General features: G+C 39.6%; 1 protein-coding gene and 1 non-coding gene across 53 annotated transcripts in view; both read left to right on the top strand.

Annotated features, from left to right (window-relative positions):
* The window catches only part of LPP (LIM domain containing preferred translocation partner in lipoma), a 737,651-nt gene that overhangs the window by 527,917 nt on the left and 184,702 nt on the right, over positions 1–25,032 (top strand). The gene's annotated exons all lie outside the window — the stretch shown is intronic.
* MIR28 (microRNA 28) lies at positions 7,844–7,929 on the top strand. Its single transcript, NR_029502.1, has one exon. It is a non-coding gene; the product is annotated as a microRNA 28 (primary transcript).

Here is a 25,032-nt window from a genome sequence, read left to right on the forward strand (position 1 = left end):
GTGAGAATGCAGCTCCAGCTGACAGACCCCCAGCTCTATCTTCCCAGGTGCATTTCCTTTTTTTTTTTTTTTTTTTGTGAGACAGAGTCTCGCCCTGTCACCAGGCTGGAGTGCAGTGGCATGATCTCTGCTTACTGCAATCACCGCCTCCTGGGTTCAAGTGATTCTCCTGCCTCAGCCTCTCGAGTAGCTGGGACTACAGGTGCACACCACCATGCCCAGCTACTTTTGTATTTTTAGTAGGGATGGGGTTTCACCATGTTGGCCAGGATGGTCTCGATCTCTTGACCTCGTGATCCACCCACCTTGGCCTCCCAGAGTGTTGGGATTACAGGCGTGAGCCACCGCACCCGGCCGCATTTCCCTTTTGTACACTAGGAGCTACCGAGTACCAGAAGTCTTTGTTAGGATGCACAGTTCTTTGCTCACTCTGCCTGGGACAGTGGCTCAACATCTCCAGTCCCCTTTGAGTTACCTCCAGAAGGTTCAGGAAGAGCCTTTCCCTCCAAAATGTTCATAGCATTTGATCTACCTTCTCTAAGATAAGCAGCTTTTGTCACATTGTACCTAGGGTAAAGATTTGTAATGCCTTAACTCTATGCCATCTGTATGCTTCCTGCGGACAGGATATGCTTCTAATTTATCAGATTCCCTTAAGAAACTACACCATGATGCACTTCTCAAAGTATGCTCTTAACTAATACTTATGGGAGGAAAAAAGGAAGGAGAAGGAAAAGGAGGGAGGAAGGAAATCGTGTAATTGCAGAAAGTTTATGTCTGGGACCCTTGTGTAATAATGTTAAATAATACTTTGACTTTTACGCCATTTTTCTATATACAAAATTCTTTCACATCTATTTTCACCACTATCCTGATATTGTTTGCATGATGTGTAGTATGTATGTTTTTAATGTGTGTGCATATTGTTTGTCTCTCACACATACAGCAGCCCCAACACTGACAAATCCAAATTCTATGAGTACAGGGAGTTTGTTGTGTTCACTGCTGTATCCCCAGCACCTTGAACAGCACCTTTCAAGGAGGAAGAACCTAATTCATGTTTGTTAGAAGAATGAATGACAATATTGTCTTATTTGATCTTCACCATAATCCCGTGAAGTGAATACCGTATTCATACTGTATCCTCGTTTTTTTGCAGATGGCAAAACTGAGGCCTTGAGACCTGCTCAGGTTTGCATAGCTAGTTTTTGGCCATGGCAAGATTTGAATTCAGGTTTTTCTATTTCCTTATTCTCTCCTTTTTGTCTTCTGGGAATTTGCTATATTAATAGCAAAGCAAGAAATGTCACACAAAGAAAAATTGTTTCCAATTTTAAATTCATGATGCATATGCAAGAAATTACTGACTTTTCAATCCAATGGTAACACAGATTGTGTGATTTTTAGGAGGAAGAGCCTTTCTTTTCCATCTCTTGCGTTTATTAGCATATGTGTCAGTGCACACACATCTACACCGTGCAGCTCTCACCTTGTACTTTTCCAGTCTGAATTCGTTTTGTAGGCTGTCCCTGCCCTGACTATCCCAGGTGCCTATCAGGGCTGTGTCTTGGTCAGGCTAAGGCCAAGCAACAGGCACCAGCATTTGTTATGGTTACCTTGGCAAGTGAATGGGGTTTGAGGGAAGCTGGAGAGCAGGCATTTCAGGAGTAGAACTAGGCCAGTCTGTTTTTGTAAAAAGTTGATATTCACCCTAATTGTAGCTCATGTTGGCAAGCGGAGTAAACACCCATGCAAATTACTAAGTTGTACTGAATGTCCAAGGATGTCAATAATCATCTTGAAATCCAAATAAATATATTTTTTACTGAAACGGAAGCCAGGCACCACATGCAGTTTCTCTCTGTCACTGGAGACAGATTTGGCACATATGCATGAGACAGAGAAGGGCAACTCTTCAGGCCCTAATGCACACAGGAAACTAGGGATGTGTATATCATACTTGGCAGCAAAATAGAGGTGGGGCAGCCATCACTTTCTGTTCTCAAGCACCTCTCTTTTTTCCTATATTTTAAAACAGGATGACCACAAAGAAGAATAAGGTATACAGTAGCATAGGATCCTAAATTAAAGCATGAGGGAAAGCTAGCATTAGTTTTTCATCTAAAGTCCATTTGGGTAGGAATGAGTCAGTGCAAAACTGTACAAAGGTGATCTTAAGTCACATGTTATGTTACCGACTCTGTGGCAATGGCTGTGAGTAGTCCAGGAACTCTCCAAGGCCTATTTTTAAATTCACTTAGACCAAGCATAATGAGGTAAAGGGATGTCTATACACATTCTCAAGTTTAGTTCTCTGACCGTGAGTCAGACTGTGGGCCATGGACCTGGGCGTCTCAGTGGTAGCAGGACTCATTTTTTCCCCTTTTCTTTCTCATAAATGACTTAGGAGACACATTGGAGAACCCTATGTGCTCCTTTTACTGGAATTATCTTTTAAGGAAGTACTGATTTCACCTCCTGTACATGGTTTGCTGAGATGGCCTATTGGGGTTTCCCACCAGTCCACAACTGGAAGTTTCTATTTGCACATTTTGACTGCTAGTTCTATATTTAGTCAAAAGCCTGCCTTTTGCCTGGTTTCTTAGGGAAATAGTCTGTAGGAGTTGCTGTGTCCATTTGCCTTGTTCACTTGGGTATTTATTTGACTGTATACCCTGATTATTTCCTAAATTAACAAAAAGGCACAGGGCCCCAAATGAAGGAAGACCCCTTGTAATTTGTTAAAAAATAAGTTTATGAAAATGTGTCGTCAGGAAATCAGAGTTGTGTTGCGGGGTGGGGAGCATGATATACATTTGTGTTTGTATGTTTCTAATTGTCTACAGATTTATGGCCTACTGTAACAAAGCCATTGTAAGTGTACAGTGGGAGGGTCAAGAAACCTTATTCTATGGATTCAAACACATTATGCATACAATTTACACGTAGGCACAAAAATATCCCTTCAAAGACCCTCCAATAAGCTATGGTATAGTTGAGGAAACACTAGACTTGAAGTCGGGAAACCGGAGTGTTGTCATTTTAATCTCAGGCTATATCTTTACATGAACAAGAGAACTTTGTGTTATTTTTCATATTCGAACTCTTTGTGCTGAAGATTCTGCAGTCAAACTGCAAGACACATACGCATTGGCTGATCAGAAATGACATAACCATTCTTACTGCACTGAGTTGATATTCAGTCAATAAACAGTCTAATCTCGGTTAAATGTTTGCATATTTTTAGACTTTTAAAAATTTGAAATCAGCCTCTCAAGTTCCATTAGACAGTTTTATCACGGACACATCAAGTTCCATGTACAACAGGCTGAGAACCATTAAGCTACAAAATTTCTAAAATTTTCTCCAGGTTCTCAGTTGCTAAATTCTCTCTTGAACATTTTTGGGGATAAAAAACTGGCAGAGAAAAAGAAGAAAGTACACCTTTTTACATTATGAAACACCTATGTTCACCTTATCCATGGAGTTATGCCAGTGACCTAATGCCTATTAAGTTCTTCCATGTTCCAAAGGTCTTTCTGTACTTGAAAACTCATAGGTGAGTCAGGTCCTTCACTGATAGCTTATAGCTAAAAACCACTTGGGAGAGGGGCTGTCCAGGTCTTATGTCAAAACTTTGTCCCATACGCTGTTAGTGTTAGAAATGGAGCCGTCAGCAAATAGAATCTGTTGTTTCATTTAATTACTTTTCAATATGCCATTACCAGAAATTTTTATGTAAATACATATTTTATTCCCTGAGGCTTGTCAATCTGAGACCAAAATTATACAACACTGAAAAAAAAAAAAACAAAATTTTCTTTTTACTAGTTCTCTCCCTGTGTTACTGTGTCATCTCTCATGCATGGTATAGGATGATGATGGTGCTCAAACTTAGCCAAAGACTCTTTTGTTGGTATTCAATTGGCAGAATTAATGAAACAAATATTTTAAGATCCCTGAATATGTGCTAAAAGCATATAACTACACTACTGGCTAGTCAGTAATTGGTGCCTCAGAAGAGTTAGGTATTTATTCATTTACCAAATACTTATATGTCAAGCACTGTTCCATGTGTTTTCTTAACCCATGTCATTGTTAAAACAACCCTTTGAAATGTGGGTACTGTGATTATTTCCATTTTGCATTGAGGAAGCTGAGGCACAGAGAAAGTAAGGAACCTGCCCAAGGTCATACTATCAATTGTAGTGGTGCAAGACAGTGGGCTCTGAAGTATGTTCTCTCTATGACGACACTGTGCTCTGAGGGAGTGAGAGAAGGAGGACATTGTTTGGGGCCCAGTGAATTAATGAACAAGATATCTGACTAGGATCTGAAGACTAGCAGAATTGACCCTACAGAGAATGTTTGACCCTACAGAGAATGGCTGGCTGTTGGTGTTCACAGCCGTGAGCATAGTGTGGTCCACAGCCTCGGTGTGGAAAATGGTCTCTGTGGTTGAATTGAGAGAAGAGCAAATGAACTGGTCTGGAATAGGGTGTACACGTAAGTAGAAGATAAGATTGAAAACAAATTTAGTGCCAAAATCTGAGGGACCTTGAGCCCCATGCCAAAGAGTCTGTATACCTTATCTAATTTGTTTAATGGGGCCACTAGGCAATTACGGGTCCGGGACCCGCATGGCAAGAATGCCTTCCATCCACAGCAGCCCTTGATGTGAGGTCAGAAAGCTAACTGCTAAACTTGCAGTCCTGAGGGAACACCCTCAAATGGATAAACCCAGCTAAGCAAGCTGGACCATTTCCTTGGGAATTATTCACCTCTCAATCAAAGAAGGAAACTTCCCAAATTCAATCCATTTGCCTTAACGTGGTGTCCCATTACCACGAATACTGAGTTGTATACATTCTTCCCTAGCTCCCTTGAACAAGCTTCTCTACTACTTTTCTTAAAAAAAAAATTACCCATTTATGACTTATTTATTATTTATCCCCTTCCTATAAGGGAATGTCCACTCTTTGAGATCCTCATTCTTCCTCCATCATGATGATGTGATGATGTAATGATGTAGTCAAGGCGCTTCCCTGGCCTAATGTGTATGAGGGCAGGCTTTGAAGTTTGACAGTCTTAAAGCTAGAGTGGTGTCATGCATTGCTCACCTCTCTAATCCCAGATTTCCTCCTCTGTATAATGGGATAAATACCTTTCCTATGAACATTTTCAGATTTTTAAATATTAATAATTCATATGAAATACTCAGCCCAGAGCTCTGTACAAAATATATTACTCAATAAATGTAGCCATTGATATTATTAATAATATTATTAAATATTGAGAATGAATTCTACCAAAGTGCATGGCACTTCCAGTGGCTGATTCTGTTTTATGTAGCCACAGGCCTTTACCAAAGGCAATGGCAATAAAGAGAGGGCACAGCAAGATCTATACTCCTTTAAACTAAGGTAACCCACTTCAGTTAGTCCCCACAGCTTCTCTTGCAACTCTTACCCTATTAGCTGTTTCTGGGGAGAAATTTAATGGGCATAGATACTGGGTGGATAGACCATACCCCAGTGATACTCCAGAGAGTGAAAAAGAGAAGTTAACACAGGGCGTGACTTCCTATGTTTAACTTGCAGTTCTTATCTTACGTTGCCCATCAGAATTATCTGTGGCATATTCTAACCATATTCTTCCTAGGCCTCACCCCTAGAGATACTGAATTAATTGTTCTTGTGGGTAGAGTCACTGTTATGCTTTAAGCTTCCCAAGTGATTCTGATGGGCAGCCAAGACTAAGAATCTATGATTTAGATAGAAGATGGGAAGCCGAGGGAGGCCATGGGAAAGCTCTGATGGTGAGTATGGGAAGAATCAACATAAAACAAGCACTCAACAAGTGTGCATCTAGTTGAAGCCTTGCTTCTCCTGCATTTGTTATCTCAGTGTGCTATTTAAAAGCAGCACAAAAAACAAGGAGTGAAGACCTTGATATCAAGGATGTGAAAGCTACTTCTAATCTTCAAACAGATATTAGGCAGGGGCTTTAAGACTTCAACTTGAGAGAAAAGCTAAGGCACCTGGTATGTGTGTGCTCAAGTGAAATATTTGTGCTGACTGAGGGCTTCAATGTCAGGCTGTCTGAAAGGACACAATATCAACAGCTTTGCTGTGCTTGTGTATGAGTCTTTAAATGAATATATCTGGTTATAGCTTATCTCTTTTCTCCATGCTCCCTCATTTCCAATTTCCAGGTAATGGAGATCATCTAGTTCGGTTTCAGCTGCTTTATTTTGCAGATGAGCAAACCCAGTGATGCCTGTGATCTAGATGGAGGCAGATTTCCTCTCTCCCCCACCCTGGTATACCATAGTCTGTTCTAATGCTGGGATCAAGGATGAAAGTGCTAATTTGGGAGTGTCCCCCACTTTCTTACTAGCTGATATGGTTTGGCTTTGTCCCTACCCAAACCTCATCTTGAATTGTGATCCCCACATGTCAAGGGAGGGAGGTGATTGGATCGTGGGGGCCCTTCCCCCATGCTGTTCTCTTCATAGTGAGGGAGTTCTTATGAGATCTGAGATTTTTAAGGCAGTTTTCCTTGCTCTTGCTCGCTTCTCCCTCTGCTGCCACCTTGTGAAGAAGGTGCCTGCTTCCCCTTCTGCCATGATTTTAAGTTTCCTGAGGCCTCCTCTGCCATGCGGAACTGTGAGTCAGTTAAACCTCTTTAGAAATTACCCATTCTCAGGGAAGTTTTTTATAGCAGTGTGAAAATGGAGTAATTCAATGACCCTTTCTTACTGACTCATTGGTCTGATTTCTTGACCAAAGCTCTGAATATTCCCATGTCATCCTGTCTAACCAGCTGTCTTATACTCTTTTTTTTTTTTTTTTTGAGATGAAGTCTCGCTCTGTCGCCCAGGCTGGGGTGCAGTGGCACGATCTCGGCTCACTGCAACCTCCACCTCCCGGGTTCATGCCATTCTCCTGCCTCAGCCTCCCGAGTAGCTGGGACTACAGGCGCCCATCACCATGCCTGGCTAATTTTTTTGTATTTTTAGTAGAGACGGGGTTTCACCACGTTATCTTATTCTTAACAGTGTCTGAGGTATTTTTTTGAAACACAATTCTTACCTTAACTGCCCCAGGCACCACGGCAGAAGAACCATGACCTTGCTGAGAGGCACTGCATGCCAAATGAGACTTAGTTTTTCCAAAGTACTTGGGAGAAGAAAAACAATAATCTATATGATGGGCTTTTGGCCTAAACCCATATCCTTTAGATGACGGAATTTGGCACAGCTCATATTCTGGTTTAAAGAAAAATGTTTTGTTATGATGTCATTTGCCTAATTAATAGCAAAAGAGGATTGAATTTTCCCTATGCAATGTCATCTAGCCTTTGAGATTTTAGAGTTAATGACTCAAATCAATTGTCCTGTCTTCTGTGAAACCTTCCTGATGCCTTCAGTTGGATAAATCTACCCTTGGTGTTCATAAGGCATTATATTGATGCCTCTGATGTTATGCAGATATATCCCTTCTTGGCTTTGTTTGCCCATTCAATGAACATTTGTTGAACACCACCTATATGCCAAGATAGTTGGAAGATGGAAGTGTGGTACACAGAGGATGTGGAAGGGAATCACAGAAGATGAGACTATGAAGGCAGGCCCTTCAAGGACTTTCTAAGTAGTACTCAGGAGTTTGACAAAGAGGAGCTAGAAGAGGTTTGTGAAGTCAGATGAGTAATATAATTAGGTTTGTATTTTATGAAGGGCAACATCTAAATATGGCTTGTCTATTCAGCAAGCACTTATTAAGTGCCTTTTGCATGGTAGACAACATGCTTGATGCTGAAGATACAAGAAAAAATTTAAAATGGTCCTTGCCCTCAAGGAGCTCACAGTCTATTGAGTTACCTTTCTGACTTTCCCACTAGATTGTGAGCTCCTGGAGGGCAGGCACTTTCGTTCATCTGAAAAAGAGCTTAAATTTCAGTGTTAATCCTAGATTACAATCCCGCCTCTATTATTTTAACTTTGTTCACATCTGTTAACTGCTCTGAAAATCAGAGCTAATACTGCCTACCTCATCAGGGAAAGATTAAACGAGAAAAGAATGAGATGTGATTGACACAGCAGGAGCTCTGTGTATGCTATTTCCTCCTCTATCTCTGTGCCTGGTACATGGTAAACATTCAGGACACTTCTGCTGCCTGCTTGGCTGGAGAGCCTGTCTATGCAGCCTCAGTGTTGGGAGGATTTGAGCCTGGGGTCGGCCTGGCACCCAGCTATGGTAGTTAGCAAATCTATCCTCAGCTCAGTCAGTGATCAAATCACTGGCTCTAGGCTGTAAACTAACAGGGCCAGAATTGGGTTCTGGACTCTGAAGCCCAGGCATGCATATTGCAAAAGTCAGAATCGAAGTCATAGGAAAATGATGAAATTTCCTTTCTGGCCAGAATGCTATTATTTCACCAAGGGCAACAAATCTTCTTGGCAGGAAAAGTTGACTTGCTTGTGCTTTGTGTAATCAATTGTATTTGCAAGTGATGGAGTCCTTCTCACAGTGGCTTAGAGGAGGTGTTAACCACTATTCTACTCTCTACTTCCATGAGATCAACTTTTTTAGATTCCACACTTGAGTGAGATCATGCAATATTTATCTTTCTGTGCCTGGCTTATTTCACTCAACATAATGTCCTCCAGGTTTGTTTGACATTTCATTGTTTTCGGAGAATTTTCACAGTTCATTATCTCACTTCACAGTTCCTAATAGTCTCTCTGAGGTCCATATGGTAAGAATTAGTACCCTTTACTATATTTGTTGAATCACAAGTGAGCGGAGGAATGGGTATAGTTGAGACCCACAGAAGTGAAGTGACTTGCCCAAATCCATATAGCTTATTATGCTACCTGTTTGTTAGAGGTTTCCTGTTGTATCAGAAACTAGTGAGATAAATATTAGTAATTTTTGTCCCATTGACACATGATGGTATATCAGGAATTCTGAGCTCATTTTTTTTTTTTGGCTCAATAAGTGACCTTAGAAAATCCAGAATGGGATTTTTAAGTTGAATATCCTTCTCTGACCTGTGAAATCACTGCATCTGTTTCCCTGACTTTATCACAAGGTAACCCAAGATATTGCCAATATTTACATGTGACAAACTCTGAAAGATGTGCATAATGCTCCCAAAGGTCATCATCTTCATACCTACCTTATAAAGTGCAAATGGAATTGACCTAGTCTAGAATAAGCAGGCGAGATGCAGAGAGATTATGTGACATAGCTAGGTCATGTGACTAGTATGCAGCAGGCTTGGGGCATAAATCCTAGTCCTCTGGCTCCCGAGTCCAGTGTTCATTACGCTATGTGACATGTCAGTATTGCTGTTTGCTCGGGGTTAGGCTTTTCCTTTGGAGGTTAGAGCTTGATAACTCTAAATCGATAAACTTCTTAGTATGCCACAGTAATGCTAGCAGAAAGTATTTGTTGAAGCAAAAAATATGTTGTTTCAAGGGGTCTGCTCCCTGAAAGATAAGTTTTTTTCTTTATTTGTGGTTTTACATCTAATTTTTCTAATGTTTCAAAAAACATTCTGTGTTCCTTTAATCTACAAGTTGGAATGGATACGGTGCCCTAATTTTCGTGTTCCCTTTGAGCACAAGCAATAACACATTTTAAAGGATGATAAATAGCTGTGTAAAATGTAGATGGGTTCTATAAATACTTACCAAAATCCCTGTAGTCAGACCCTGGTAGAAGGAGAGAATAGTCAAAGTGTTCTCTCTTTCCACATTCTTCTTCTTCTTTTAGGGGTAGTTTGGTAGTTAAGAACACAGTTGCTAGACCCAGACAGACTCAGACTTGAGTCTTGCCCTACCTGTACTACCTGTTAGATTTTAGGGAACTCCTTAATTTTCATGGGCCTCTATTTGTAGAAGGATGCTAACAATATTATGTGTAGTTTTTAGAACATTCATCTAGTATAATCCCTATACATTTTAAGTAGGTAATTATGGGTTATCTCTCATGACTGTTTTTATCTTCATCTGAGACCCTTTCTTTCTTCCTTTAAGATACTTCTATCCATATTTTTCCCTAGAGAGAAACAGTATTAGCTACTCCTGCCTGTCAGTTTAAGCTACTGTGTCATGACTATTTTGCATTTCTAAGTTTATCCTTACCTTTATCATCAAAGTGCTGACTAATGCAGTATCTGCCACCTTGTGCCTGCTCAGTAAATACAATTTGGGTTAAACTTTATTCATTTTTAGTTATGAGTGCAATATAATGACATAGCTAAAAGTTCGAAAGTAGAGAAGGGATAACAAATAGGTACTGATAATGCCACTCTTGTAATACTACATGTAGCTGACTGGTGAAGGCCATGGACTATAGAGTCATACTGGAATCCAGGCTTCAGTGCCTTGAGTGCTCTACTTAGAAATCTGTGCTTTAATTTCCTTAGCACTGAATGAGGGCAATAAAAGTAACCACCTAATCAAGATGCAGGGTGGATGAAATACATCTGAAGCATTTGGAGTAAGGCCTGGCCCAAAGGTTAGCTGTAATAATAAAAAGGTGGATGGTGACGATGTACATGATGATGGTTTGTGTGTCCCTTTATTCATATTGCCATTCACAAATTACTTGAGTAGTCCTACTTCTCCTGTTTGGTTTATTTGTTGCAAGAAACATGTGCATTAGAAGATTGAAGATGATTGCGCCCACTTGAGGAAACCGGACCCAGAGAGGTGAAATGATTTCCTAAATAGCACCCAGAAAGTTTATGATAGAGAGGAACATAGAACTCTAGCAGCCAGGCTGCTCTATTCTTATTTTCTCTATACTTTTCTTGTTGGAAAAGGACACTGTTGACTCCTAGTTACCATCTAACATTGTGGTCCAAGCTACAGAGACAGTAGAGCACATTAAGTTCTTTCAGTCTGGCTTTTATGCTGGCTTTGTGTGATAGTGCCTCATATCCACTGAAACGTAAGTACTTAAGGAGTGGATGGGAAGTATTCCTGGAAACTCACAGCTAAGCTTTTATGTAAAGACAGCACATAAAAAAAAAACCACTTTTCATAACTTTATGGAACCTGCAAAAAAATCTTGGCTTCCTTCATGATGCTTGCCCCTAGAGTGTCAGCATAGCCCTTGCAGAGAAACCCCAGGATACCTGTATTTCTCCACCCTGGCCTTCCTCTGAGCATTGAGTTGTTAGCATCAAAAAATCACCACAGCCACGTTGATCCTCATTTTCTTCAGCCTCTATAGAGCCTGCTATGCCAGGGTCCTGGGTAATCTGCAGACAGCTGCTGTCATGCAGCCTCATATATGGGTTGACTTTACCAGCAAAGAATTCCCTCACCTTCGAGACATCACTGACATCTTCATGCACAGCACAGACAATGAAACAAACAAAAAAGAACAAAGAGGGACATAAAGGTTGGAGGTCATTTACATTTGCATTTACTTGAAAGGAAACATGCTAACTTGTTGACTTGACTCACTTGATGTACTTTTTCGAGATTTCACCTGGAATCTTGTTCTTGCTAGATCTCTGGATATGCAAATCCCATCTTTGTCCAAGACCTAATTCAAATGCCACCTTTTCTTGAGAATGTCCCTTCATCTCCTGAGCTACAACCATCTCCCCTTTCTCTGTGCTCTGATAGCACATCATTAAAACATTTTACTTCGGATTGATGGACATTTTTGTGTGTCTAATATTTTCTACTATATCTTCTAGAGGGCAAGACCTACTTCTCAATATCTTTAGCATGGCACTTACTAGGCACTCAGCAAGTGCCCTTTGAATAAATGTATTATTTGCAATCATCTCTTCAGGTATATGTAGTTTTTGTGTTAGAAGCTTGCTAGGTTGCATCTTGCAAGAGAAACAATGTGATCCTTCACATGTACTTGTTCTTCTCCGAATGACTTTCTATGCAAGAAGCACTGGAGGCTGAGTTCATACGTTCAGCATTGTCAGCAGAATTGAGTCCTGAATGACCTGGGTCAGTCACTACATTAGATGATTTGATTAGAAAAAAGAATAAAGCCAGTTATAACTTGTTTTCTGCCTATTACCCAGGATATTTAGAATGATGGAGATGCAGAAGCATTTAGAGTTTTTGATGATACTCATGGTGGTATCATGAAAATAACACCTTGTGTGTTTATGGCACATAATTACATGAAACTCATTTTATTCTCATTAGAGTGTCACCTTGAATCCTGTTCTTTTTGGTCTTAATGTTTAGTGATTAGAACTTGGGAAGCAATTTCTAGAACCAGAATGGTCGGGTACAAATCCTAGCTCCTTCTCATATCAGCTCTGAGAACTTGGGCAGGTAATTTAACTTCATGATGTCTCAATTTCCTAATCTGTACAGTGGGGCAGCCAGAGTACTTATTTCATTGTATTATTTGAGAAGTGGGAGGACATAGTGCATAGTGATTCTATAAATATTACTATTGCAACCACCAGGCTTTGCATAAGGCCCTAAGTCAAGAAAACTTTCACCGTTTAACAGAGATGTTTCTCTCTGAAAGGCATGTTATTTGAGAAATAGTTGTTGAGATGAAAGGGGGGAGGCAAGATAGAGGCCAGCTTGATGAGGGCTTTGAACTCAGCCCTATCAACAAGAAGACCATAGGGCTGCATAGACTGAGGAGAAACACTCTTTGTTTGTCGAGGAAAAGGAAACTTGCAAAGGGATGGCACCAGCGCAGCCCGACAGAATTCTCTGTGGGCCACATCTGTTCATGCCAGCTGTTGTCAGTGTGTGTCGCCTCGCCGAGAATAACAGCAATGATTTTCACTTTATAGCAACTTCCATCTTGGGATCTCAGAATGCTGCATAAATGTAGATTAGGGCTCCCAAAATTTTTGCCAAGAATGAGCATACTTTACAGAGCATCAAGAATGCGTCACTCTTCTGAGTGAATCTTTATTGGTGCAAAGAGAATTAAACGAATATTGAATTAGACCTTCCTTCCTGATGTGAGCTTTCTTCTTGATTTTACTCCTTATTTTCTAGATGACCTTGAATAACTCAGTTTCCCTCCTTGACACTCAGTTTTCTTCTTATAAATGAAGGGATTCATGTACTACTAAATGGTCTCCAGTGTCTTTTCTGTTTCTGAAATTCACAGAAGGCAGGGAATCTAAAGTTGCCTCCCACATTTTAGAAAGGCCTAAGTTGTTGTAGAATTGAATATTTTCTTAGCATTTTATTCATGATATGGTAAGAACCCGGCAGAAAATTTTTCAGTTTGGTCACTGGAAAATGACACTGTCCTTTAGCTTCTAATGTGAAAGAATATAGTATTATTTACCTGTTTTTCCCTTTGCCCACCTTTAGGTACAGTACTATTTATTATTTTATTTTACTATTTTAAGATTTAACATTAATTCTCTAGCTTATATCTCAGATTGATAAGAGCAGTTCTACTTCTTTTGATGAGTCAAGTGAATGAATGAAGACATTAAAAATGACCATGTCGGCCGGGCATGGTGGCTCATGCCTGTAATCCCAGCACTTTGGGAGGCAGAGGCAGGTGGATCACCTGAGGTTGGGAGTTGGAGACCATCCTGACCAACATGGAGAAACCCCATCTCTACTAAAAATACAAAATTATCCGGGCATGGTGGCACATGCCTGTAATCCCAGCTACTCAGGAGGCTGAGGCAGGAGAATCACTTGAACCCGGGAGTCAGAGGTTGCGGTGAGCCGAGATGTTGCCATTGCACACTGAGCAACAAGAGTGAAACTCCATCTCAAAAAAAAAAAAATAAATAAAAACTAAAAAACAACCATGTCTCTCAAAGCCTTGTACTCAGACCACCTGCATCAGAATTAGTTGGGGGTACTTGTAATATTTTTGGTTTCCATCTTTGTGCGCAGAGAGACTATATCATTAAAAAATGTTTGTCCTTAAGAAAGGTTCTTTTGATAGTTCAAGACTTTGTAATGTATGTGAAATTCCACTACAAATAAGTGGATGGGTTGTTAAATCTCACTGGCAAAAGGCAGATGAGTTGAGAGACTGAGGCACTTTTGTTGCGGTTAAGCATCCCTTTCTGGAATTGATGACTGGATTCAAATCCCAGGTTCTCCACTTATTATCACGGTAATCTTTGTACTCCAGCTTTCTCATTTGTAAATTCAGAATAGAAGCCACCTAATATGGTTGCACTGGTGATGAAATAAGTTACTCAATATAAAACATTTTGAACACCTACTAAGCACTCAGAATACCTTATTTATACTCTTGTAAATTATACATAAATTAATACATAAATTAAATACTAATGTATTTCTACCTTTCAGAGTTTGTGGGAATGGATAAAAGATTCCTTCAATATGACTACTATTATTTTAATCATGGTCAGTGATTGATTAGAAATATTAAATGTTGCTGGTCTTTAGATTCACTGTCAGAGCATGATCTTTCTTCCCCTCGGCTGCAGTGCTGACGAATAACACTGAGTCATTCATATTCTCTCATCCACCTTCCTGCCACATTTGAAAGACATCCATAGCTCATATTTGACAGACTGTGTGTGAGCATTTAATACAAATAATCGTGCGCCACTGTCAAATATTAGCACATGCCATGTGTCTTCTTATGTATTACTCACAGTGGCTCTCAGATGAAGGCATCTACCCAGCTCCTCTGCCTACTTTCCCAACTCCATTTACAGGTGAAGACGCTAAAGGGGGGAACAAAAAACTTGTGAAATGTTATACAAAACTGGAGGTATAATTTGGCATTTGAACCAGCTTGTTCTGCCTCTGAAGCCCACGCTTTCTCCATTATACCACAATCAATATTTCTGAAAGTAAAAAAGGCCACATTGGTCTCCAGCTTCTGGTCTAATTAGCACCATACTTTAATCAGTGAGTTTGACTGTCTTGATTAACCTTTACGATAGACCATGTAAGTTTCATATTTCTAAATGAATATATAGAGATGGCTGTAAATTAGTGGAAAAACACTAAGCTGGAATCAAAAGACTCCTGCCTAACTCTTGGTTCTGCCACTTAATATGGGTATGATTTTGGCTAATCACTTAACAAACCACTAACTTGGTTTCTACAGAAAGAAGAAATGATTTCATGCATTGGACAATATTAAATAATCTAGTGTGTGTGTGTTGCACCCAAGTATCTTTTGACTGTAAAAGCACATAGAAAGGTGAAGGAATTTTAATCCCATGGTTGATAGAGTAGAATGCCACCTCAGTTCCTCTGAATTCTGTCCCTCATTCAAGTCCTAATTCAAGCTCTTTAAGCACACAGTACTCTCTCTCTCTCTCTCTCTGTCTCTCTTAATCTGTATCATCCATTGATACACTTGAATAATATTTATACATCATAGTATATCTTTAAGGATGATATTAGTTTCTTAATTGGTGTAGGCTGGACCATCTCATTTAACTTATGGCTCATGCCTGTAATCCCAGCACTTTGGGATGCCGAGGCGGGCAGATCACTTGAGGTCAGGAGTTAGAGACCAGCCTGGGCAACACGGTGAAACCCTGTCTCTACTCAAAATACAAAAATTAGACAGAGAAATTGCTTGAACCTGGGAGGCATAGGATGCAATGAGCTGAGATTATGCCACTGCTCTCCAGCCTGGGCAACAGAGAGAGAATCCGTCTAAAACAACAACAACAACTCACAAAGTAAATTCTATTTACCCCATTTTATTTTTGAAATAACTAATAGGTAGTAAAATTCAGCATCCTGCACTGGATCATACAATTGGTAAGCTGTGGATGTGGGATTTGAACCCAAGTAAGCAGACCCTAGAACCTATATATCTAAGGCATACTGATTACTATCAACGTTCAATTTTTTGCTTTGTTCTTTTATTTCTCCTTCATATACCTTGATTTCCTGACTGGATTATAAATTCTATGAACTGGTTGCATCTCACTCATTTTGATGACTGCTTTAATGCCTAATTAATTACTATTATTTGTGGATAATTTAATATAGATTTCATAGGAGGCTATAGTTTGCTACACTGCTCGTGTACTCTAGAAACAAGGACCCTTGACTTTTTTCTCTTCTTTGGCTATAAGCTTATCTTCTTACCATGTTGAGATACTTTGATTTGATTTTCACTGGTCAAGCAAAAAAACATGTTCTTGTTATTTTCACTTAGGCACTTTGTCTGCCTCCCTGCTGAGGCCCAAAAATTCAGTGTGATCGGTGTGTCTGTCAGAAGGTAGGATTGCTTGCCTAGGGTGGCATTGTTATTGAACAAAACACATGCCCTTTCTTTGCATCCTAAGTGTCTTGGATTGCTGAGCCAGAACCGCTCTGACTCAAATGAAAACCACCTTGTGTTAGGTGAAAGATGGGGAGTTAACCATTTGTTTGCTGGTTTGCATTTCCCACGAAAAACTCAAAAACAGAAATTTACCTCGCCATGGAAAGTGATGTGCCAAGCGTCATATTTGCATATTAAAACCGAAAACTGATTTGCATGTTATTTCAGTGTCTTGTGTCACGTTCAGGCATCTGTCAAGCCCACTAGACAGAAACAGCTTGTACAGTAGGAAAGTGTTTTTATGCATATCAGACTGAAAATCTAGGTGCCTTATTTTTATCAGCAACTTGTCCACACTTTGGGCTCTCCAATCTCTCCTAGGTTCATACCTGAAAATACTAAAGAAAAGTCTGGAACCCCATGTTTTATAAAGTATGTTTCCTGTTATTTTCTAAGAGCTATCCATTTTTATAATATTCTGTTTAGATAATTTTAAAATTATAAAGAGAAAAACTCAAATTAATCATAATATCACAATCCTGACATAAGTCTTGTTAACATTTGGATATATTCACTTCTAGTAGCTGTTTGATAATACTTACATAGGCTAACATATACTGGCCCTTTTGCATATATATTTTTATACATTTGTAATTATCAGATGTACTATTTTCATATCTTCTTATTTTTTGGCACTATAATGGCAAGAATTATGACAATCCAAGTATCTAAAATAACAGATTAATAAAATCTTATTTTGAGCAGACAGGAAATTAGAACCAGTCAGGGCTGGAGCCGTGGCAACCGAAACTCTGTGCCGTCTTTTTGATAGTGCTTTATTAAAACTGTAGCTTGTAATTGAGGATAGTTTTTCTATGGGACAATGCATAGAAAGCTGTGCATGGTGATAAAACCTTTTTTTCCCGACATTAGAGCAACTAGCCCATTGCATTCTTCCAGGCAACCAAATGAAGATGAAACGTGTGCCTGGAGTCACTGCCAGGCATGTGGGGCACAGCAAAGGCCAAAATATGGTTTTAGTTTGAAAACCCAACCTTGAATAATGGTTCATTCTATTCATCAAACTTTTAGGTCATGGGTCTTGCCTAGGTGAAGCCATCCAATGGAAATAATGTCTTGGAATTCTCTTGCCTTTATTATGTCAAATCTCTAATATATAACATCCATAAAGCCTAATTAATGGGAAAAACTGAGTGTATGTTTTAGCCATAACATTGTGGAAATAGGTTCTTTTAGTTTCACACAAATAGAGATCTTCTCACCCCACCGAGAAAACTCGCTTTCTCCTTTACGGAGGGCCCGCATGGAGGTTTAGAGGGAAGGAACCCTGAAATGAGAACTGTGAATAAGGTTGGCAGGAGATCTTTGACCTAGATTCTCCTCGACTCTGAGGATTTGGCGCTTCTGCTCTGCGACTCGCTTTTCTTACTTCTTGCCTACCCGGCAGGATAACATCAGTGGTTGTACCTTGTCTGCCGAAGCCTAAGGGAGGCTGCTCTGCTCTAAATAGCCAAGCATGAGCTTTACTTTACTATTTGTCTTTTGGTCCTAAAGGCGAGACTGTACAAGAATTAATAGTTGGAGAGGCAGCAAGGCATACGTTCACCAAATGGCATGAATTTCAAGATTTGTAGCTAAAAAGTACTCAGAGTAATTACATCCCTTGCTAAAGCAACAATTAATGTGAAATTCGGGTACACTACACTGAAGTCCTTTATCAGCAGATGGAAAAGTGGAGAGTTACTGGAGAGATCTCATTCTGCAAACATTCTGCTTCCAAGAAGAAAATCATCTTTGTTAGTGGTTTCTAAGTTGTCCCTCTTGATAATTATAACTGACATCTATTTGATATTTAATATGTTACAAAGCTTCTTCATATGAATCAGATATTATTATTCTCCAGTTTATATATGAGAAAATCAACAATAGAAAAAGAAATCACTGGAGAACTTAAGTAGTATCTTAGACATCAGGCCTAAGAGCCAGATGCTCCAAGCCCAGGCACTATTATAGCTGCCTTGACACGTGGAGACGGAGAGAGGTGGGTGTGGAGAGACCTCACTTTCCCCCAGCTCAGCCTAGATAAAACCCTTGTGTGCAGAGACCAGGGCCCCCTGACTGGATGCCCAGGCCTTTTCCCAGCTGCAGTAACTCTTCCAACAACTCCTCCTGTCTGTAATTCAGAATCATCCATCCTTGGCTATGACTCCAAATTTGGTTTAAGAAAAGGCATTTTATGGGCATCGATGCATGGCATGAGAAAGGGAATATGAGGAAGTAGAGATTTTAAGAAAATCAAGATTTCGAAAGTTGAAGATCAACTGGGATGAGTTTCAAAGCAAGAATCAAACTTTTAAAGTCAAAATTTCTGGGTCTTCCTCTTTGTGTCCTTAAAATTCATTCTTCAATAAAATGGAACATAAGAATAGAAGAACCAAGAGCATGCTTTTCTAATCCCAAGGAGCTGTGAGGAGTGTTCATTTAGAAGATTTCAATTCAGATAGTCAGGTATCCACCTTCCACTTCTTTCCTTCTCTGTGGCCATCGCTTTTAACCTGAAACAGAAGAGGTATCCAGCAAATCATCTGCCCCTGGCCAGAAGGGGTTCTCCTTCCATTTAAGCAGTGAGATGTTGAGAGTAGAGTATAATTCAGTGAGAGTCAAAAAGTAGAAGCAGCCACAGGAAATTGCAAACTGCAGACTTGACACAGCTAAATAGAAGGGGGGAAAAGAACGAAAATATCAGAAATATATTTTTTCTGGCAGGCTTTCAGCTCTAAAACGGGGCTAATTCTACCTTTTGAAAAGAAGATAATTTCAATGTTTCTTTTTTTTCAAGAACACATAATTGAAGTTATTTTCCCTCTGAGGGAAGGAACCTCTTGTACATCACTACAAATGGACAAGAAAAATGAGCAGCTCTGGTACCCAGAGTGATAGAGTATTCATTATCATGTAATCTTTTTGAATATCTTGGCTGCCTTTTCCCGGTGTTTTATCCGCCTGAGCGGTGCTTTTCTGGTAAGGTTCAGATTTGCAGTAAATTTGAGTTATCTAACACCATGTAACAAAGAAATCAACAGCAGGTAAGCACTCAAGAAAGAAAAATGATCACGCCAAGGTCAGCCCCAGAGGAACTCAGGGGGCTGACATTGCGACAGATAGTGGGTATCCATTTTGTAAATTGGATCCTTAGCACACAGGTTAAAGTAGGTAAATTGTAGTAACAAAGATGCAAGATGGTGTGGTGTTTTCCTGGGAGCCATTTGCACCTTAGTGCGGGCTGTTTCCCATGCTTCCTTTTTCCTTTAGAAAGGATGATGGATATTTTTCTTCTCCACTCAGAAAAGGGGCAGTGGGATGATAAGGTGATTAACCTTTGTGTGTTCTTGATTTCATGCCCCAAGTGTAGTGAAAGTTCAGTAGGCTGCAGAAACCCTGTGACCTGCCCATTGCTTACTCAGATTCAGAATGCTGAATGAAGTTCTGGATGTTTCAGGGGATGCTGACAACTGGCTTAAGTCCTCTCATAAATGGAAATCTCTGTCATAATGAGGTTTCCACTTACTCAGTGTGTCTATTTTTATAGACTACAAAGGATCTGTAAATATGAATATCTGTGATTTCACTCTAAAGATTGGTAATGATATGTGTCTTGCATACTATGGGCACAAATGGGCACAAAAAAATGATAGAGTAGAACCAAAGGAAGCTTTGAAAATAACATGTTACACATAAAGAAACTGAGGCTCAGAAAATGGAAATGATTTGAGCAAAATCACTGGACAACTTAAAGGCAGAACTAAGATTAAAGATATTCTGAATAGTCAGGTCTTCTGTATTTATGGGTTTCTATGTAAATGTATAATCAAATACCATGAAGTGTTATATGAATATGACAGATACTGTTATGTATGTTATTCTTAATCTAGTGGAGTTTCCTTCTTCATCAAGGGTCCTATTCATGTGTACATTTTGTTTCAGAAGCAAGTCTTCATTACTGCATAGTCCCACCCATAATGTTTACCAGGGATTTAGACCCAGATTTGGCTGTAAATTTGGCTTCATATTAAGTATTTTCTTGAATGACAATCACCTGGGCCCCTAGCAAGAAAAGAGGAATGGCAAAGAAGAACCAGTTTTAGATAATTTTCAGCTGAAAAAAAAAAAATCTTTATTTTAAGAAGGGAAAATACAGAAACATAGAAAGAATATAAAGCATTCAATTTCCCATGACTTTCAACGATTAACCTTTGAGCATATTGTATTGCCGTAAGGCAGGTCAGCCTGGCCAGCGAGTGACTTATCTCCATGTGGTAGTTCAGGGCCCAGTCTCCATCCTTCCTGTGCCTCACAAGGCCACATCTAACTGCAAGGAGCATGGGAAATGTAGTCTAGCAGTGTGCCCAGCAAGAGGAGGAAATGGATTTTGGTGAGCAGTTAGCAGGCTCTGCCATGCTTAGTAAACATCAGTCCTTTTTAAAGCATATTAGCCACTAAATTGCTCAGAATGCCACGATATCTGGCTGCGTTTTTTTTTTTTGAAAGTGTCAGTGGTCTTGGTGTTAGAAGATGTTTGCCAATACACTTACTTCAGAAGCATGACTTTCATAAAAACTCAGCTCCCATTTTTAAATCTCATAATGACTTCCCATTACTTAAAACAGGCTTGGCATTGACCATATCTTACTTCTCTTTTCTCATCCTAGTTCTGTTTTTTTCCCTTTTTTTTTTTTTTTTTTTTTTTGAGACAGAGTCTCGCTCTGTCGCCCAGGCTGGAATGCAATGATGTGATCTGGGCTCACTGCAACCTCTGCCTCCTGGGTTCAAGCAATTCTTCTGCCTCAGCCTCCAGAGTAGCTGGGACTACAGACACCAGGCACCCGCCACCATGCCCGGCTAATTTTTTGTATTTTTAGTAGAGGTGGGATTTCACCATGTTAGCTAGGATGGTCTCGATTTCCTGACCTCGTGATCCGCCTCCCTCAGCCTCCCAAAGTGCTGGGATTATAGGCGTAAGCCACCACGCCCAGCCTTTCCTCTTAACAGTTTTTTAGATATACATGTTCCTCCTGAAATGCCTTTAACTTTCTTCCTTCTTTCTTTTCTTCTTCTTCTTCTTTTTTTTTTTTTTCCGGCTGTTGTACGCAATTTATTCTTCAAGATCAAACTACAGGTCATCTTTTTTTGGCAGCCTTCTTCCGTCTCAGAACACTGAATTCATACCTGTGTTTTAGAGCTTAGACTTTATTGTAATTGCCTATTTTCATGTCTCTTTCTTCCCAAACTGTGAGTTGTTAGAGACAGGATCTCTGAATAATTTGTCTTTATACTTAAAGTTCTTGGCACTTGGTAATCCCGTAGGAGATTTATGTTAAGACAATTTTGACGGAGTCCTCTAAAATCTGTCGCTCAGTAACTCACCTGTGGATCATATAACGTTAACTTGCCTTTAGTAAGAGATTCGGGTATTTCAGAAACAAACATATTAGTGATTAAGATTGATACTTACAAGAATGTCTTTTTTTAAGAGAAAGGTTTGCTTCACAATGTCTTTGTTTTGCTATTTGGCAGCAAACCTCCACTCTGATAAAAGAAATCTTTGCTTAGATAATAGACTCAGACTAAAATCCAAACAGCCGCACAGTAAGAGAACTAGAAAGTCTTGGAGACAATGATATCAAAACCCCGAGAGGCATTGCAGTGAAGAAGTATGCCCAACTCAGCACACCCCAGTTTCAACGTTCTGCTGTTTTTAAGCAGCGGTACCTCTACAAGGTTGCTCACTTATCTTCTTAAGTCTCTATTTTCTCATCCAGAAATAGGATTACATGTCATACAGGGCTGTTGTGTAGGCATTTGAGATTTCACATCTGTGAAAGTAGGCATCTTGAAAAGGGTCTTGCAAACATGAGGAATTAATATGCTACAGTGAATATGTTGCTGATACAACTCACACTTCTACTTCTGAAGAAACGAGAAACAAAAATAACACAAACTATTCCCTTTCAGCACCTCCCACCACAAATATTCAATCGTGTTTTATTACCCATACAATATGCTAGAAGTTGCTTATTAACAAATAAGTTGGACACAGTTGTTCATTTTTCTTAGGAGGTATTGAGCCCTAAACACTATCGAGAGAGAGGTATTAGAGTAGGTCTCTGATTATGACAGTAAGAATAGTACTGGATTACTGCTTCTAGGCTCGAACACTGAAAGTTTTAAGCTGTCTTCTTTGGTGTAAGAGACAACTCTTAACGGAGGAACCCTGTGTTTCTCCATGGTGTATTCCACAGGTGTTAAGTATTCTGCACTGGGTTAGTGACAGCCGTGGAGTGGAGGTGGAGGCTGTTCTCTAGCCAAATAAACTTCAGAAATACTGAAAGAAATGGTCTCTCAGAATCTTTCATCATAAGAAAAAAACAGGAATCCATAATTAGCATTAGATAAAAGAGTAGAATCTAACAGAAAATAGCCTTTCCAAGTGTTATTTCAGAAACAGCATAGCAAGCAAATAGAGTATTCAGAGAACAAAAAGAATGATAACGTTTTTCTCAAAATCTGTGAAATATTGACAAGGTAAGTACTTTGAAATTAGATTTATACTTGAAATGTAAGTGCTAGGGGTAGAATCTAAATTTCTGGCTTAGATTTATAAAGGACAGGATCGGCCTTCTTGCTGCCTTGTCTATATTGAAAGGGAAACTGATATTAGGTTGAGACAATGATAAATTGTGTCTGTTCTCTGAGGGTCCATCCTAAGACTGAAGACAGGAATTATCAAGTTTTCTCTAACAGTCGTTTGGCTTAATTAAAACAACTTGCACCATTATTATTAGAGGTAATATTTTATACTTTTCTAGCACTCTCTGTGGGAAGCATCGTTTGCTTGGGGAAAAAATGCATGGCACTTGGAGACAGGTGACACCATATTTTGGGCTCAAGGTCTCCCTGTATTGCAAGCCTGGAGAAAAGGTGTAGGTCACTTCCCAACCTCATTTTCAATTCCACTACCTGAACTGTAATAATCCACTCCCTCAGAGGCAGTTTGAGAGATTCAAAGAGATCCTCTTTGTTACAATTGTCTGAAAGTAGTTAAACTCTATTTATCATGAAATGTGGGTTATCTCACTTTAATTCTTACAGAGACTGTGAGGTACCACTGGCAAGTCCATTGATAGAAGAGAACCTGAAGTTATGAAAGGTTGACAAGCTCACCTAAGGATGCCAAGTGAAGGTCATAGTCAAATCTCTGTCTCTAACCTTAATGATACTGCCGTATAATGTATTCCTTTATCTCTGGCCACCAGTATATTAGATAAACTCACCATCTCATTTCAGTCTTGCTGCTCTCCCATTCACCCTCTACTTCAGCGGGAACTTTCTAAATATGATTAGAACACTCTTCTAAAAACACTTACCGTGGTTTCTAATGCCTGGATGTTCCTAATTGAGAACATGCAAATATATTCCCCGTGGTCTGTGAACTTCTTGAAATTGTAAGTAAATTTTGTGTACACTGCAGATACCTGTTTTGTTGTTGTTGTTGTTGTTGTTGTTTTGTCAAAAGACAGTTTAACACATTAGATTTTGAGACTTGTCCACGTTCTTACCCAAGGCCTGGAGCCCCTAGCTCACCGAGAAGCCCTAAACATCTCAGCATGGCATGGAAGCAGTAATTAACTGACCCTTCCTATTTTTCCACCTGTCCAGACCGAAATACTGAACCACTTGTAGTTTTTCCCACTCACACCAAACTACGTCTCAACTTTGAAACTGTGCTCCTCTCAGGGTCCTTCACTTGGCCTGGGTTGGAAGCTCCAGGATAGCGGGTCATGTCTAGCATATCTTTATCACTTGAAGTCATCATGTTTAAAAAGATTTATATTCATGGATTACAAAAGTAGAACTACTTGCTGTACAATAAAGAAACAAATGTAGAAAGTGAAAGTCCCCTAAGATTCCACCTGCTAGAAAGAATCTCCTTTAACATTTCCGTACCTGGTCTTTATATAGACCTGTAAATAAACTGTAGTTACTTTATCCTATTCTGCAGTTGGATTTGTTCTTTATGAAACATGTCTTGTTCATCTTTGCAGGCTTGTTCCATAGATTTACAATGTACGTATCTGTCATTGTCTATTTAGGTGATTCTTTTGCTGGTTAGTTTACCTTGTTAGTCCTTGTTCCTCCTCTCAAATATGGCTCCTGTGACCAACCTTCGTCATTTAATTTTATTCACTTGTATGAGTACTTCTGTACAATTTTCCTGGAAGCAAGTCACATGTATGCAATTTAAAGTTTAACAATACTGGCAACCATTCATCCAATATTCATGTTTATGCAAATACCTATCAATATACTATGCTATATATATATATAATTTTTTTTAATTTTTTCTTTTTTTGTGTGGGGGGAAAATAGAATCTCCCTCTGTCACCAAGGTTGGAATGCAGTGGCACGATCTTGGCTCAAACTGTACCACCGGGTTCAAGCGATTTTCATGCCCCAGCCTCCTGAGTAGCTGGGATTACAGGCGTGCATTATCACACCTGGCTAATTTTTGTGTTTTTAGTAGATACGGGGTTTCACAGTTTTGGCTAGGCTGGTCTCGAACTTCTGGCCTCAAGTGATCTGCCAGCCTTGATTTCCCAAGATGCTGGGATTACTGATGTAAGCCACTGTGCCCGACCTGTGCTTTTTATAATTAATCATTTGTGCATGTTTCTTACCCCCACTAGACTGC

Source organism: Homo sapiens, chromosome 3, assembly GCF_000001405.40.
Source record: "Homo sapiens chromosome 3, GRCh38.p14 Primary Assembly".
NCBI classification, from domain to species: Eukaryota; Metazoa; Chordata; class Mammalia; order Primates; family Hominidae; genus Homo; species Homo sapiens.